The 16,531-nt window shown below is 38.3% G+C and overlaps 1 protein-coding gene and 1 long non-coding RNA gene across 16 annotated transcripts in view, besides 1 other annotated feature; both read right to left on the reverse strand.

Moving 5' to 3' along the window:
• FGF14 (fibroblast growth factor 14) overlaps positions 1-16,531 on the reverse strand; it is a 691,640-nt gene that overhangs the window by 632,494 nt on the left and 42,615 nt on the right. The gene's annotated exons all lie outside the window — the stretch shown is intronic.
• Positions 1-16,531, reverse strand: part of FGF14-IT1 (FGF14 intronic transcript 1) — a 102,200-nt gene that overhangs the window by 50,978 nt on the left and 34,691 nt on the right. The window lies entirely within an intron of this gene.
• Positions 8,874-9,375: an enhancer, noted in NCBI's record as "H3K4me1 hESC enhancer chr13:103004521-103005022 (GRCh37/hg19 assembly coordinates)". NCBI's record gives its function as "activates a minimal SCP1, AML or CMV promoter by ChIP-STARR-seq in naive H9 embryonic stem cells {active_cell/tissue: H9 hESC(naive)}" and the evidence as "EXISTENCE:reporter gene assay evidence [ECO:0000049][PMID:30033119]".

Consider the following 16,531-nt stretch of genomic DNA (forward strand, 5'->3'; position numbering starts at 1 on the left):
GCAAAGGAGGGATTGGTCAATCCCTGGGGAGGATGAACAGAGACCATGCATTTCAGGTAGACAGGGATGACTGCAGTAAGTAGCCACTGGCTGAGGAATTCTAGGCACTGTGAGCTGCTCCCTTATAGCTCAAACATGGATTTCTAGGGCAGTTGTTGCAAGGCCTGCTCAAGCAGGACCTAGTCTGCCAAGCTAAGGCATCTAGATTTCACCACTAAAGGGCTTTACACAGATGAATCACATAATCAGATTTTCTTTTAGAATGATAACTCTACCAGCTGCATAGAGAATGGATTAGAAGGGTGTGATATTACAGACAGTCATATGCGAGACTGTTGGCTTCCAAACTAAATTTAAGTGACCCCTTTCTACGAATTCTATGGGTCAAAACTTCTACTAAACATAGCTCTCACATTCATATTGCCTCTTTAGAAGCATAGCAGAATCTAAACATATTTTGAAGGTTAATATGTTTTTTAATATCCTGTTAGATTCCCTTAGCAGGAAAAAGAAAAGCCATTCAAGGCTGACATTAAGATACATTTTTCAAGCGGCTGTTATGATCATTCTAACCCCATCTTTCCCTGACTATACTACTAAATACAACATAGTTAAGCTTTTGCAGGAAAACATTCTCATAACCATATTCTCTGCCTTGTGTTTTTCGTACTCTGTCACAGAAAGAATATGGAGTGCTTTTAAAGCTGCTTATGTAATTCACAGCAAGATCTGTTCCATTCTTAGTTATCAGTAAAGTTATTAAGTTAGCAGCAATCCACGTACTTTTTTCTACTTCTACCAGAAAAGAAGGCATGAAACTCAATCACTTACGAAATGATCCTCCATGAATAAATTATCCTGCGGCTATGATATTTTTAAAATTACCTCACACCTATTAAAAACTAAATTAATCAAATCACTTAGATGTCAGAATATTTTTTAAAAGAGAGATACTGTCAAAATGCTACGATTTCTGGTAAAGATCCTCCAACTTCTTAAGGAATCTGAATTAAAATAGAACTGCTTCTCTAAAGAACCCTACAAAACCTATTAGCTATTGAGATTATAATACGTGTTGCTTCTGGGTAAAGAATACCTATGTTTGCCCACTTGGGCAAAACACTAATTAGATGTGTAACAACACAACATCTATTACCAGAGCATTTGAAAAATGTATTTTTAAAAATCAAACTAAATTTCCTTCTAAGTAGAATGTAGTCCAAGAGTATTATCTGTTGGTTGATTGAGATTTGCTCTCATATCCTGTTTGATATAAGACAACCTGTCAGTTTAAGCCACTTTCATAGTATTTGAGCTCTCACTGCCTGTCAGTCTCTGGATGTACAAAGGATCTGCAGTAAGGAAGAAGAGAGGCACATAAGAGATCATTGCCCTCTCAAGGACAAGGTCCAGGGCTAGCATAGTCATGCACATGAGGTTCAAAGAAGGTTTCCTGGAGAAGAAGACTTAGAGTTTGACACAGAGTAGTGTGTCCAGGTAAAGAAAGGTGCAAAGAGCATTTTATATAGATGAATCTACGTGGCCTAAAATATCATACAAAGGTATGGAGCAGCATTGGTGCAGGGAACAACTACTGGTAGCTTGATGTACCTAGAATGAGAAGCTGTGGGAAACCACGCTGTTGAAGCAGGGAAGGCCTGGAACCTGGATGTTCTTCTAGAACATGAGGCTGGCTCACTCTCCTAAGACAGGATGAGGAAAAATTTTACTGAATTTCAAGTGAGGGGCCATGTAATACAACCTCTGGTTTATGGTCTTAATTCCAGCACTAACTTGCTATAAACATCTGGGGAAAATCACTTAGGTTTTCTACATCCCTCTTCCCTTTCAAGAGATACTCTACCTACTTACTCAGGTATATTGAAGAAGTAAAAAGGATTTGGAGAACATAACCACAATATTACTTAAGAATATTGTCATTTTAATAATAAGTATTATGCATCACATGAACTACCCAAGGCAAACAAGAAATAGCAAGCACATACATCTTACAGCATGTGTGGATAGCACCTATTTCTATAAAGCAAATGCGATGATGAGTTTATTAAACATGGCACTACTTTGGCATGTCCTCCCATTCTTTTTTTAAAAAACAGTGCTGTCCCAAGGGAAAACAAATAAAGCAAATAAAAATTCTCTCCATCCTCTCTCAACCTATCTTTTTTTCCATTCTTTCCTTTTTCCCTACAAAGCATGCCTTTTCCCCCATCCCTTTCTAAAGTAAAAAGCTGGAGCATGCTTGTCTCATATGTATATGTTGGTATAGATCTGTTGCCGTGGGTTGTTCTTTTCTAGAAGAGTTAGCATCTTCACCCATGTGGCCATGGCTCCTACGTTATTAAGAAAGCTGTGAACATTTCAGGGAGGCAGTATGAGTTTACTAAACATGTATTAGACTAACCTAACTTTATTTACTTTTATGAAACTCTTCTTGGAGAGGTAAAATGTAAGAATGCAACAAAGATTATATATTCTATTTCTTCAGGGCTCCAGGCAGGATTTCTCTTGCTCTCCTTTTGGACTGGAAAAGGGTGTTAATCAGGAGCAGACCAATCAGTTGGATAGATTCAATAGCCAATTAATAACATTAATCAAAGTGTACTGGTTATTAGTGTATTCATATCCCTAGGACAACAATGGGGAGAGTTACTATAATGGTAACAATGATGGAATATATAGTTCTCTACTACATTTAACATTTTTGTCTATCATTTGGATTAAATTTCTGATTATCAAATGTGTAGTAACACACAGATTCAAAAGATAAAGATTGAAAAGTATCTTTAAATTATCCCAAATCCTGAAGTATTTTGGTTGAAATCAATAAAATAAAATTTAACAAGCACAAAAATAAAAAATTCAGCTTCAGGATTCAAAAATTGAATGGTAGGATAAAGTAGACCTAATTTAAAGACATTGTAAATAGGTATATTCATAAAATGAAATACTATATAGCTAAATAAACCATATGGCTATTATAAATATGTTCTATAACTACATAATTCCATATACTATATAAATGTATAACTAACTATAAATAACTATATAATTGAAGTTTAGAAAAGATTAGTAACCCATCCCAGGTCATATAATTAGTAAGCAATGGGATGTACAGCCTAGGGCCATCTGAATTCAAACCCTAGATTGTTATCCACTATGTCACATTGCTTCTCAAGGCAGAATGGAACTCTGTTTACTGACATAAAGAGACTATGTCATATATGGCAGCGTACAGAGCCATATATATTTATATATATAGAGAGAGAGAACATATAAGCTCAGAATATATACACATACATATACATACACACATTACACATAACATATGCATATATATCAATAAAGATGGCTCATGGGAAAAGTCTTCAAGGTTATAAAATTTCAACACTGGATGTTTCTCGGTAGTGGCATTAATTGCTGATTTTAAATTATTATTTTTCATCTGAATTTTCTAGTTTTTATAGTGATCATGTATTGCTTGTATAGTTAAAATGCATCATGTGACTAGCGAGGCATTGCAGTGATCAGAATTTTAGTATTAGTCAACAATATGACACAGGTGCTACAATCATTAAAGCAGTTCTGTTGTGTATTTAAGAACAGCCATATTCTAATGGAGTGGAAAACCACTTTCACGTGTCTTGCACTGATGCCCAGAACACCGTGTTCAATAGAACATCCAAAAGTGGATAGCCAGCATGGTAGGAGGTCTGGAGCCCATGTCCTATCAAGAAAAGCTAAGGAACCGAGCAGAGCCCAAAAATAAAGGGGAAATACATGGTGAGATGCATGACCATGGCCAGTTAAAATGGCAAAGTTCAGAAGCTGGGTTCGTTAGTGTTATTCCAGAAGTGGACAGGAGAAGCAGACCTGCCAGTCAGTCAATATTGAGGTCCTTCTAGGTACCAGGCCCTATGCTCGACATCAGGGATTTACAATGACTCAAGAGACAATCACTGCCCTCAGAGAACTCATGGGTGAGTAACTCATCACAGTATTGCTAATAATTAAATAATTCTACCGTAGAAAGTGTCCTAAAGGAGATATGCAGGTGCTGAAGGAGCACCCAGTGTGGCAGCTTGTCATCGGTGTCACAGAAGACCCCCCTGAGATGGTGAGGTGGATGTGTACAAGCTGACACCTGACACATCATCAGGAGTTGACATGGCCAGGAGGGGGCTGAGTTTGTAAAGGTGGAAGGAGGCTTTAGGAAGTGTGCAGAGTGGGAGGGAGTAAGGCCTGCTGCGGAAATCAATGAAGCCCTCTCGCACTTTTGCATAAGAAGCAATGACTCCTAACAGCGCTGGCAATCCCAACTGCCCTGGCCATGAAACACACCTAACAGGAACATGTTGCAAGATCCAGAGTGACAGAACTGTCAGCTTTACAGTGGGTCACTGGGGTCAGCCACTGAAGCGGAATCAGGCCTCGGAACACTAGGTGATGCTAGAGAGGAAACAGTCTACTTTTAACCCGAAATTCGAATGGAATCATATGATTCTGTTTTGTCATGGATAGGGAGTCATTTAGCAACATGCAGCAAAGGGAATGTTTATAAAAATATAAACAGTGATGATCTCCCAGGAGGCAATCTCTATTTATAACAAAAAATCTTTAATAACTAAGAAAAAATAGATACAGCAATATCTCTAAGAATGCATACGACCCTAAGTAAGATTTTCTGGGTAAAAAAAAAAAAAAAGCAATCTGATAAGCACATCTCATGAGGATGTGTGAGTGGGCAAGAAATTCGCAGATAAGCTTTGATGTGGGCAAGTGTAAAATTATTCATTTATGCAAAATAATTCAAATGTCCCCTGTAGAAAGATGAGTTCCAAGAAATCAGTTACAGCTCAGAAAAGGATCTAAAAGTCAGATATTCCCTAAAAATGTGTTACTATAGTCGAAATAGCATATAAAATGTTAAGAACTCTACATTATTGACAACCATGGTATATGTAACCTAGCCTTAAGGAACCAGTTTCCTAAAAGATCAGCAGCCTTGGGAGATGTTACGGGATACAGCATGAGGGAAACTGAGTCTCCTGTAGTTTGAAGCAAAGAAAAAACAGACAACCAGTGAGAGATGAAAAAGAAAGAAGAGGCATTTCTCCCTCCATCCATAGTGCAGAATGTGAATTAAGGAAGACAATTAAGGACTACAGGAAGTGAGCAATGCCAAGATGAAACAGAAGCAGCCAACATAAGAAAAACTAAGGGTAGCAAGCCTGGGCATAGAGAAAATCACAAAGATAATCGAGAAAAGTCTAACACCAGATAGCAGCAAAGGTGGTTATTCCAGAGCAGTGGTTCTCAAAATGTGACGTCTTTGCAATGCATCAGCATCACCTAGAAACCACAGTTTGAAATATAAAATCCCTCTCAGCCCCACCTGGGATCAAATGAATCAGAGAGATCAAGAAACCAGGAAACTGAAGAAGAATCCTCCCCGAGCCCAGGCTGAGCAATTTAGCCGGGTGTTGGGTTTGTAGGAGGCCACATCAGACACGGGACCACTTTTCTTTACCAATCCTTTTTCTCTCTAACCTCGTTTGCATGCCTTTAGCAAAAAGGTACTTCTTACTCAGCAATCTTCTCTTCCTGGAAACTGATGCCCAGATTTCTATCCCAGTGCTGCCCTCTGGTTTTATCTAGACCACTGGTTCTCCACTCTGGCCATTTTGCCCCTCGAGAACATATCACAAAGTGGGAGACCTTTTTGGTTGTCAAAACTGTGAGAGTGGGGTAATGATACTAGCACCTATTGGGTAGAGGGCAGAGATGCTGCTAAACATTCGGCAATTCACAGGAAAGCTCCCCACAACAAAGAATTCTCCAGACCAAAATGTCACTAGTGCTGCTGTTCAGAAACCATGATCCAGATCAGTTGCCCCGGAAACTACATTCACACCAAGCATCATCTCTTTGCTCCTCCACTCCTCCAGCTCAAACTAGTTCCACTAGCACTGTGAAATCCTGGTTGTGCTGACATAGTCAACTTCCCTTTATACCCAAACTTCTCCATGTCTGCTCTCCATAGGCTCAATTTAATTACATGTGGCTTTTCTCAGGCGACACAACCCTCTCAGCTACATTCTCCATGTCAATGATGAATATAATATTCATTCTATTGCTTACAAACCCCAAAAGAGAATTGATGTCATGTTATTAGCAGTCATGTTTTCTGATTTGAACGTGTTGAACAAGCATATTAAGAGAGTTTCCATAATAATGCCACTTATCAGGAGTCATAAAAATCTGCAAACTTTAGCTCCAGAAAGATAATAAAAATGCATCTCTCCAGAAACAGTTTTGACTTTCTTTTTATCAATAGAAACTTAAAAGTCAGAAGGCTGAGAAGTGAATTTTTCTAGAAAGAAAGTTAAAAACCCTGAGCATGTTTGATTCCTTGGTTTTACCTAAATATAACATATTATGAACCCATGGGTTTAGGTTAAAGTAGGACAAATTCTGGGAATATGTACTTTCACTATATGGGAAATTGTGGTGCAACAAATCTATAAATATTTTTCAAATATTACTTTCACTAATCAGTAGTCCCATGGAAATGATGAACCTCATTTTTCTCCTCAGAATAAAGCTGATACTAAGGGGGGAAAATTATAATTACACATGTGCGTGCACACTGAATTATGCTGCACTGTTTTCAAATACAAACCTGAGAAGAAAATGGAGAAGAGACAAGAGTGAATATGGACTATGGTGACCTGTTAAAAACACACACTTGTGAAAACATTCATTAATAATAAATTAACACACATTTACCAGATCCTTATATGACAGCATACAGCAGGTAATTTAACCTCAAAAATTCAGCCAGGAGTTTGACATCAATCTGAGCAACATAGTAAGACCTCCGTCTCTACAAAAAAATTAAAAAATTAGCCAGTGTGGTGGCACATGCCTGTAGTCCCAGCTACTCAGGATGCTGAGGCAGGAGGATCCCTTGAGCCCAAGAGTTTGAGGTTGTTGTGAGCTATAATTGTGCCATCGCACTGCACTCCAGCCTAGGTGACAGAGTGAAACCCTCTTTAATTAAAAAAAAAAAAAAAAATCATCTCCCCAACAGGCTTAAAGAAAGAATCCATCAGCTTCACAGAAATGTCCTTTGAGCTCATGTGGAGCAAAGGCAGACGCCTTGTTATACTTCCTGCCCATGTGGAAACTCTGATGGGTCTTGTTTTCCCATCTCTCTTCCTATCTTGTGTAGTTAACTTGCACACCCTCCTTAGCAAACTGCACAACTTTTTAGGATAAATAAAAGTCCTCTTTGTACTTGGCAAAAGTCAAGCTGCCTGCCATAGCCTTTGTATAGAACACAGGAAGGGGATGACCAGTCAGCCGACAAGCACTGTACTTCTTGACAACTGTCCACGTATTCAGGTGTAAAATGATGATATGGAAATTCAAAGGACGCTATGTGGGAATAACAGAGCTTCCACTGAAGTAAGGAGTGGCGTAAGATGCAGCCATATTCATACAAGTTTCTCTCGAATGTCTATTCATCTCCTGCAAGCTTTCTACATAAGCGTGGTCACTGGACACGGCCTCCCTCTCACCAAACTCCAGGTCATTCCAACCTAACTTGCTTCAGGGAGCAACAGATTCTCCTCTTATGGGGGTGGAGGTATCCACCACAACACCCACGTTGCTCCTCCTCAGACCTGCAGGCCAGCACTGGGTACTCCCTTCTGCTTCTCACCACTAACTGCTAAGGGCCTCCTCTCCTTTCTCAGGCCTCGTGGAAATCTCTCCCCATCTCCCTTTCTACCTCTCTTCTAACTCTTGCCTCAGGAAAATTATTCTTCCTCCTTCTGAATCTCTCATTATATTTCTTTCCTATGTGAATCAAAAAGACTAAAATTTTGTAAAAAGTACAGTTACAAGTATAATAAAATTATACCCAGTTAAAAACCCAGGATTTCCCTTTGGAACCTAAATCATAACAGAAAAAAAAAACGATCTTCTTCCTCATCTTTCTCTAATTAAATGTGCTTTCTTTCCCCTCGAACATGTCTTCAAATTACATTCTTTATTCAGGTTTACAGTGTCTCCTTTGCCTGAAATTATATTTTAATAGTTTTTCATTGGAAATCTTCAGAGAGTATTTAAATTGAATTAAACAGGGTTTTGTGGGTGTATTAGTTATGGGTAACTAGTTCCTGCAAAATTCAGTGGCTTAAGACAACAAAGATGTATTATCTGACAGTTGCTGTGGGTCAGAAATGCAGAGCGTCTTAGCTGGGTGGTTCTAGGCAGTGAGGCTATCAGCAGGCCTGCAGTCTTCTCAAGGCTTCACAGGGACTGGCAGGTCCACTTCTAAGCTGGCGTCTTCACATGGCATTTGGTCAGAGACCTCCGTTCCTCACCATGGGGGCCTTTCCACAGGCCGCCTGAGCATCCTCAGGATGTGACAGCTGGCTGGCCCCAGGGTGAGGGATCCAGGAGAAAGGGAGAAAAGAGAGCCAAGGTGGCTTTTGTCATCTAGTCTCTGAAGCCACATTCAGTTGCCTCTGCTTTTTTCTTTTTTTTCTATTCGTTAGAAGTAAGTCACTAAATCCAGCCCATGCTGAAGGGAGAGGAATTAGCTCTACCATTTGAAGGTTTTGTCAAAGAATTTCTGAACATATTTCAAACAACCACAGTAAGCAGGACTTGAATGCAAGTCCCACTTATGACATTATTTCCACTGGGGAAAAAGTGTTCTGCAACCTAACTACAAGCAAATGTTTAAAACGCAGCTTTTTTGGTAAAGGAGATACACCTCATATTATATAAATATGGCTGGGACGTTGTCAAACATTATGGTGTATTACTGAGCCTTTGAAATGTACTGAAAGCTGCAAGTTTATAGATTTCATCATTATAAAATACCCAAACAACCACAATATCTGTACCTTTATACACACACACACACACACACACACACACACACACACACACACACACACCTGCAACATTCATTTGAAAATTGAAATACCTACAGAATAGCTATAGGGTTCCATAGAGAATAACAGGATTGGATGACTCCTTGAGGAAAACATGGGGGGAATTTTAGCTACTAAGGAGACAAGTTGTTTTAATAAATGGCTCATAAACCTTATTTACATTTACTCAAACACCAGGACAAGTCCATCATTAGCCATCAGCAATTACATAAACTAGGGATTCTTTTAAGATGTTAAGATATTGGCCGGGCGCGGTGGCTCACGCCTGTAATCCCAGCACGTTGGGAGGCCGAGGCGGGCGGATCACGAGGTCAGGAGATCGAGACCATTCTGGCTAACACGATGAAACCCCGTCTGTACTAAAAATACAAAAAATTAGCCGGGGGCGGTGGTGGGCGCCTGTAGTCCCAGCTACTCGGGAGGCTGAGGCAGGAGAATGGCGTGAACCCAGGAGGCGGAGCTTGCAGTGAGCCGAGATCGCGCCACTGCACTCCAGCCTGGGCGACAGAGCGAGACTCTGTCTCAAAAAAAAAAAAAAAAAAAGATGTTAAGATATAGTTAGCCAGAAAACAATTTGTCTTTAGGAGAGAAAAGTTTTCCTCTCAAAATATCCTCTCTTATAATAGACTGCTCTAATTCTCACTCCTCTTCCCCTTCCCATTGCGCACCTCTGCTATCCTGAAAGAGTCTTGAATCAAGAGTTTAGATTTACTTTCATCTTCTATAAACACTATGTGAATGGATATAGTTTAAATTCCAAAATGCCTTGTCTATAATAATTGGAGTCCAGTGTCAAGTCACAAGGAATTGAAAACCATTATATCTAAAAATAAAAGCAATATACCTAGTAAAAATGTATATTGGACTCATGGAAAAATATTAGACATAGTCACGAGAGCAGTGAGGCATAAAGAAAATACAGTTTGCTAATAAACTTCTTGTTTTTCTGTCTTGCTGTGCATTCTCTCTCAATCTCTTTGCCATCTCCCCTTCACCATCCAAGTCTTCACTGTTGGTGTCATTCAAAGTTCTGTGTATCATTTCTTGTCTTCTCATCTAAAATACTTGGTGATCTCATCAACCCCTGTAGCTTCAATACCAGTTCAATGTGATCACCCCAAAGCTGTGCCTCCAACCTAGGCCCCTCTTCTAAGCTTCTGACATAGATACCCAACTGCCTTCTGAAAAGCTTTACCACAATGTCCTAAGCTGAAAGCATTATCTTCTCCACGGAAGTTCCTCCTCAGGTGCCTCCTGGTACAATCACGCTGTAATTCAAGCTTCCTTTTCACACCTCCAGTCCTCTCAAATTGAATCAGTCCCCAGTACTCCCACACTCTGCCTTCTTGCAAAGTAGATGGATCACTTCAATCCATCCTCACTTCCTGGACCTCGCTACCTCCCACTTAGACTACTGATTGCAACAGTCTCTTCATTCACTCTTCCCATCCTACACTCTCGACCCCTCAAATCTATTCTCCACCCTGCAGAGTGTTTTTCCTAACTGTATTAGTCTCCTATTTAAAATCCTTCTGTGGCTTCCACTTCAACCATCAGGCTCTTCTAAGTTCATTTTGATAGCTATGGGAAGCCTACTTTGACTTCATTCTCATTTCTTCTCTAGGTTCCCTTCTGGTAGCTTCCCACCCTGAGCCTACATTCACCATGTCTGTTGTATAGACTTTTTGAAAGGCAAATGAATCTCAGGACCCCAAAATCACTAAGCCAAAGGGAAATGTCAAGCTGGGAACTTGCTCAGGCAAAGCTGCCTCCCATTTTATTCCTAAATAAGATAACTACAAAGATTAAAAAAGCTACATACCTCCCTCACAATTTGCCCACTAGGAAATTCCTTTTGGGACTCAAGATCTTTATCTTAAAGGAGTTCAGTTGGATTTCACCTTGGCAATGTAAATTGATAGCTTATCTTCACAGCTGCGGGACAAAGGACAGAACTCAAAGTCATCCCTCTGCTCATCTGAGGCAAATGCATATCTGATTGCTTCTTCTCACCTATTGTTTATACAAAAATGTACATTCACTGAGCCAGACTAAGACAAAAGTGACTCTTCCTCTACCCCCTCTCTCACATGTAAATTCTGTATTCAGTGAAAGGCTGATCAAAGACTCAAAAGAATGCCACTGTTTGTCTCTTACCAATCTATGACCTGAAAGCCTCCTACCCACTGCAAGTTGTCTCACCTTTCCAGACCAAACCAATCTACATCTTACACATATTGATTGATGTCTCATGTCTCCCTAAAATATAAAAAACCAAGCTGTACCCCAGCCACATTGGGCACGTGTCATCATCTTGAGGCCCACAAAGAATTTCCTTGTAGGCAAATTGTGAGGAAGGTATGTAGCTTTTTTATCTCCTGAGGCTGTGTCATGGGTGTGTCTTTAACCTTGGCAAAATAAACTTCTAAATTGATTGAGTCCTATCTCAGATACTTTTGGTTCACAACTTCATCAATATTGTTGAAAGAATCATTTGCACTTCCCTTTATATAATGTGTTAAATACACACCTCTGTTCTTATTCTCTCTTTGGAGAGAAAGTGTTTTCCTTCCTATATATTTGGTAAAATCTGTTCATCCCTCAAGACCTAGTTTGAGTTACCTTATTTGTAAAAACTTCCTTGACCTCCCCTCACATCTCAGCTGCAGCTGGTCATACCCTTCTTTGTGCGATCAAGACCCATATTCTTACATATTTTGTAGCCCATTTCACACTGTCATGGAACTATTTGCCTTTGTGACAGTCTTCAGGGAAAAAGGTACGTCTTTTTCACCTCTGTATTTTCTGTATCTACTACCTATTACTTAAAAGGTACCCAATGAATGTTTGTTGAGGGATGAATGATGGAAGTAGCAAAATGCAGTAACAATAATGGAATAATAGACTGACATGTTTTCTAACACAGATTCCAACAAAGCATGGACTTACGTAGATCCTGACAAAAAACAAATGCATTAGGCTTTGTAGGTCACATTAACGACTGTTCAATGAAATTTGCACAACCATTATATTTCACAGGTATCCCTGCACTCACAATACTGAAGTCCTCCATCTATAGTTGGTTGGATGCTGGTGACACATTCCGAAGAATGAGTCAGTGAGATATGTCCAGACTAACAAGGTGTTGCTGTATTACTGAGGCCTCCCCCAGATGGTGATTCCTTGGAAAGTTAAGTATGTGCTGCTGGCTGGAAGTTTGCAGCTTTGACACAGTAGGAATGTTTGCCTTAGGACAGTGGAAACTCCCCATCTCGTATGACACAAGGTGTGTGAAATTGTTACCCCAAATAACACAATCTGCCCTTCCCATGAATTCATACAAGCATGAGGTATTCTGTAGAAGGAACAGAATTTTGAGTAACTCTACTCAAATTGTTAAAAAATTACAATTTATTAATAACAGTATAGTCTCCACCGTAGTTTGTGTCTTCATACTCTGAAAACCTTGTGCAGAATATTTTGAACATAACGTATGTGAATATATTTAAAATAATTCTTCCTTCGATTAATTTTTCTAAAAATTACAGAAAGTACTCATATAAATTCAACAAAATAATGCAATTATAGATTATCTTAGGACTAATTCAAGCCTAAGATTTTTTTCCATCTCAGGTAACAACCTATGCTATTAAAACCTCATGTGACTTTGCACAGAGAGAATAGCAGTTGAGTTAGCACAATGTCCCCGTCTCTCCCAGACATCAATTTAATTGCCATTTAGAAGTCACTTGCTCAGGATTATTATTTTTAGAACTTTTCACAAAATAGTTTCACTACCTAACATTAGGTCATAACATTTTTAAGTGGAGAATTGGAGAAAAATAAAGAGATGAACATTTTAACAAAGGTCAAAGAAAGGAGACTTAAATGATTACTTGCTGATAAGCACTTAAAACATCTCAGCTGAATGTAAAGCTAGACCCAGAAAACATCACTTCTTCCTTAATACAATTCTTTGCTCCTTACTAAGAGCAAAACTTTTTAAAACGCAACCATGCAACTTTAAACAACACTGAAGAGTTCTTCGCAAGAGAAGGATAACTCTGAAGCAATTAGACATAAATCTAGAACTTCAGGTGTGAAAGAGTTGTAATTGCTTTAAAAATATAGGATTCAGAAAGTTAATGCCTACCTCTTGCCTGACAAAACATAGTGAAGGTTCATATGTCAGTCAACCACATAGAGTACATTAAGCTTCCCCACCAAAAAGTTATATGTTACCTAAAACCTGTCATTATTATTAATGAAAAACCTTGAAAATTTGCTAAAGATCTGATGGTCTAAGAGGCAGGAATGCACCAATGCCTGAGGGCAAGATTGTGCCTCTCTATCCTCAATGTCCAAGTCCCACTGTTTACTGTCCCATTGAATCACACAACTGGGACACAACCCAATTTCCAATAGCAGGGCATTGGTTACATAAATTATTTGATTACTTTTAATAGCATTATTATTTATATTAAAAAGATTTATATTCTGGAATACCCAGCAGCTGTTTTTAAAATGAGCTAATTCCCAATATACTGACATGGACTTCTGAGACTGGAAGATAATTATAACTTATTAAGTAAAAAAAAAAATGCCAGAACATGTAAAGTATGATTTTAATCTATAAAATGCATATATATATATATATATATACACACAAACAGATATTCATATCTGTAGATACTTCTTAAATATCTAGAAAGTTCCATTTCACACTGTTAAAAGAGACTATTGCTAGGAAGTGGTGGAGGAGCAGGGACTAGTGTACATTCTAAATCATAAAATCTGAGCTGTTTAATTCTAACACAGGCTACTTCCATTATAATGTTTTTTTTTTTTTAATGAAAGCATCTGAGCTCTTAATCATGGTAAACTCCTCACATTCCAACAAGGACACCAGGTTGCACACCTCGAGGGTGTAGGATGTACATTATACATCTTACGTCCCTCATGGTCCTTCACAGTGTACTATGTAAGATCTCCAGGAGGAAGGAGCCACACCTGCATGCACACTCCAGGGCTTTCTGAAGTGGGGCCCAGAGGTCTCCTCTGGGAGAGTGTGCGAGGGCACTGACAATATGTCTGTCAGGATACACGGAAGTTCTACCAATAGCAGTAGCCAAGGTCCAGAAATAACAGAATAAGAACTCCAGAATTAAATATTTTAATATTTATTTGTTAAATATTTGTTTGTTAAAATGCAACTCAATGTAGCTGTTAAAACAGTATGTTCTGCAGTCAGACTGTCTAAATTTGAATCCTGAATCCATCAGCTATTAGCTAGGGGACTTTGAGCAAATTAAATAATTTCTCTATGTTTCAATTCCATAGCCTATAAAATGTGGACAGAAATAATAGGGACATTGTGGAGTTTCAATGAGTTAGTATAGATGAAGTGTTTAGAACGGTGCCTGGACAATCATGTGTTCAATAAATGTCACTTTTTGCTAGTGTTCTTGTCTGGTAGGCAAGGTGTTATTATTGAAAATGGGTTCACTGATTATACTCACTTTATAAATGTCTCAAGAATAGCCACATTCACAGAGAAACACACACACTAGCCCTCAAGGTCTAGCTTACCGTCCTCTAGAGCAAAATGTACATATCTGTAGATACACAGGAATTATACCAGCAGTTACACACCAAACAGTTGTATGGGCAGAGATATCAGAAGGGAAAGATTTTTCACCAACAGCAATCAGATTATTTCTATTTTGACCAGAGTTATTTCCAATTTGACCTCACATCAGGAAAATCTTATTTTTAATGGGCAAAATTTTGAACTTTATATTTAAAACTCTTGAACTTTATATTAAAATTATTTACCTTTAAAAATTATATTAGAACATAATTTTTTAAACCCTTGGTGTCCTCTAAATAATGATTGCATATTAACAGTTGAAATATGAATCATTAACAAAAATGTGTTTCATGTATATATTTTCAGGAATACATTAATTATATGAAACAAGTAATTTATCATCACTGTCTATGACCTTCACTGAGGGCCATTTTTAATTAGTGTTTGTACTTAGTAGACATTGACACCATAACAGTTATAAAGATTTTATATTCCAATACATCCCAGTGAACTTAAGAGGTTTCCTAACTTACAGGCTTGTAACTACATACTGTTTTGCTAGGAGGACTGAAAACAGTTTGGTGCCAATAAACCAGCAAAGGTCGAGAGTGCAGTGAAGACTGCACAAGCTGTTAAGGCCCAGTTCACTTTATGATTTGAGGTCATCAGTTAATCTACAAGTAGTATCGTGTACATCTGTGTGTGTGCGTATGTTCTGATCTGTACTCCACCTGAAAACACAATATAGTGTGTGTTTGTTTTTACTTCCCTAACACAAAACCATTCTCTGCATGGACCACAAAATACGTCTCTTAACAAAAATTAAAGATAATGAAGATATTGGAAAGGTTGCAGATTATAAAATTTTCTTTTTCAAATGTTTTAAATGCTCATCTGAGATTAACTCTATAATGAATGGAGTTAAACCCTAGAAAAATCTTCATTAGTCAGATTCAGATAAGATTTATAATCTGATACGTGCCAGCCACAAGGAAAATGTGCATCACCACTATTCATAATAGTGAATACATGGAATCTACCCAAATGTCCATCAGTGATAAACTGGATAAAGAAAATGTGGTACATATATACCATGGAATACTATGCAGCCATAAAAGGAATGAGATCATGTCCTTTGCAGGAACATGGATGGAGCTGGAAGCCATTATCCTCAGCAAACTAACGCAGAAACAGAAAACCAAACACAGCATGTTCTCACTTGTAAGTGGGAACTGAACAATGAGAACACATTGGCACAGGGAAGGGAACAACACACATTGGGACCTGTCAGTGGGGGTGGGGGGAAGGAGATCATCAAGATAAATAGCTAATGCATCCTGGGCTTAATACTTAGGTGATGGGTTGATAGATGCAGCAAACCACCATGGCACACATTTACCTACGCAATAAAGCTGCACATCCTGCACATGTATCCAAGAACTTAAAATTACATTAAATTAAAAAGAATATGTGCTTCACATACAACAGACAAGAATATAAACTATTGTTGCACCTTAATATTTCTTTCCATATTATCATAATTTTTAGTATATAAATTTCTGGCCACATTTTGATGATGTAATCAAAATACCACAGAAATCTGAATTCCCATACATCTTGCTAGTTTTCACTTTTGCATTTCTTTCTGCGTAACACCAGCTAAAAGGCAGCTCTTCCACTATTCAGTTTCCCTAAGGAAAAATAATATGATCAATTTGAAAATTGGTAACAGTACATGTGAAGATGTACAGTGGTTTAGTTAAAGTTATAAGCTGCTGTTCCAAATTAAAACTTCATTTTTAGCCCTTTATATCTCAGTGAAATTCTCTTATTAAGTGAAACTTTGCATTAAGTAGAGTAGGAAAAAGAGAATTCACTTCCTTTATATGTTAACTTTCTGAAAATCTCAACATAATTCCATTGGGAAACTACTATGGTGGTTTAGAAGAGA

This window comes from Homo sapiens, chromosome 13 (assembly GCF_000001405.40).
Source record: "Homo sapiens chromosome 13, GRCh38.p14 Primary Assembly".
Taxonomy (NCBI): domain Eukaryota; kingdom Metazoa; phylum Chordata; class Mammalia; order Primates; family Hominidae; genus Homo; species Homo sapiens.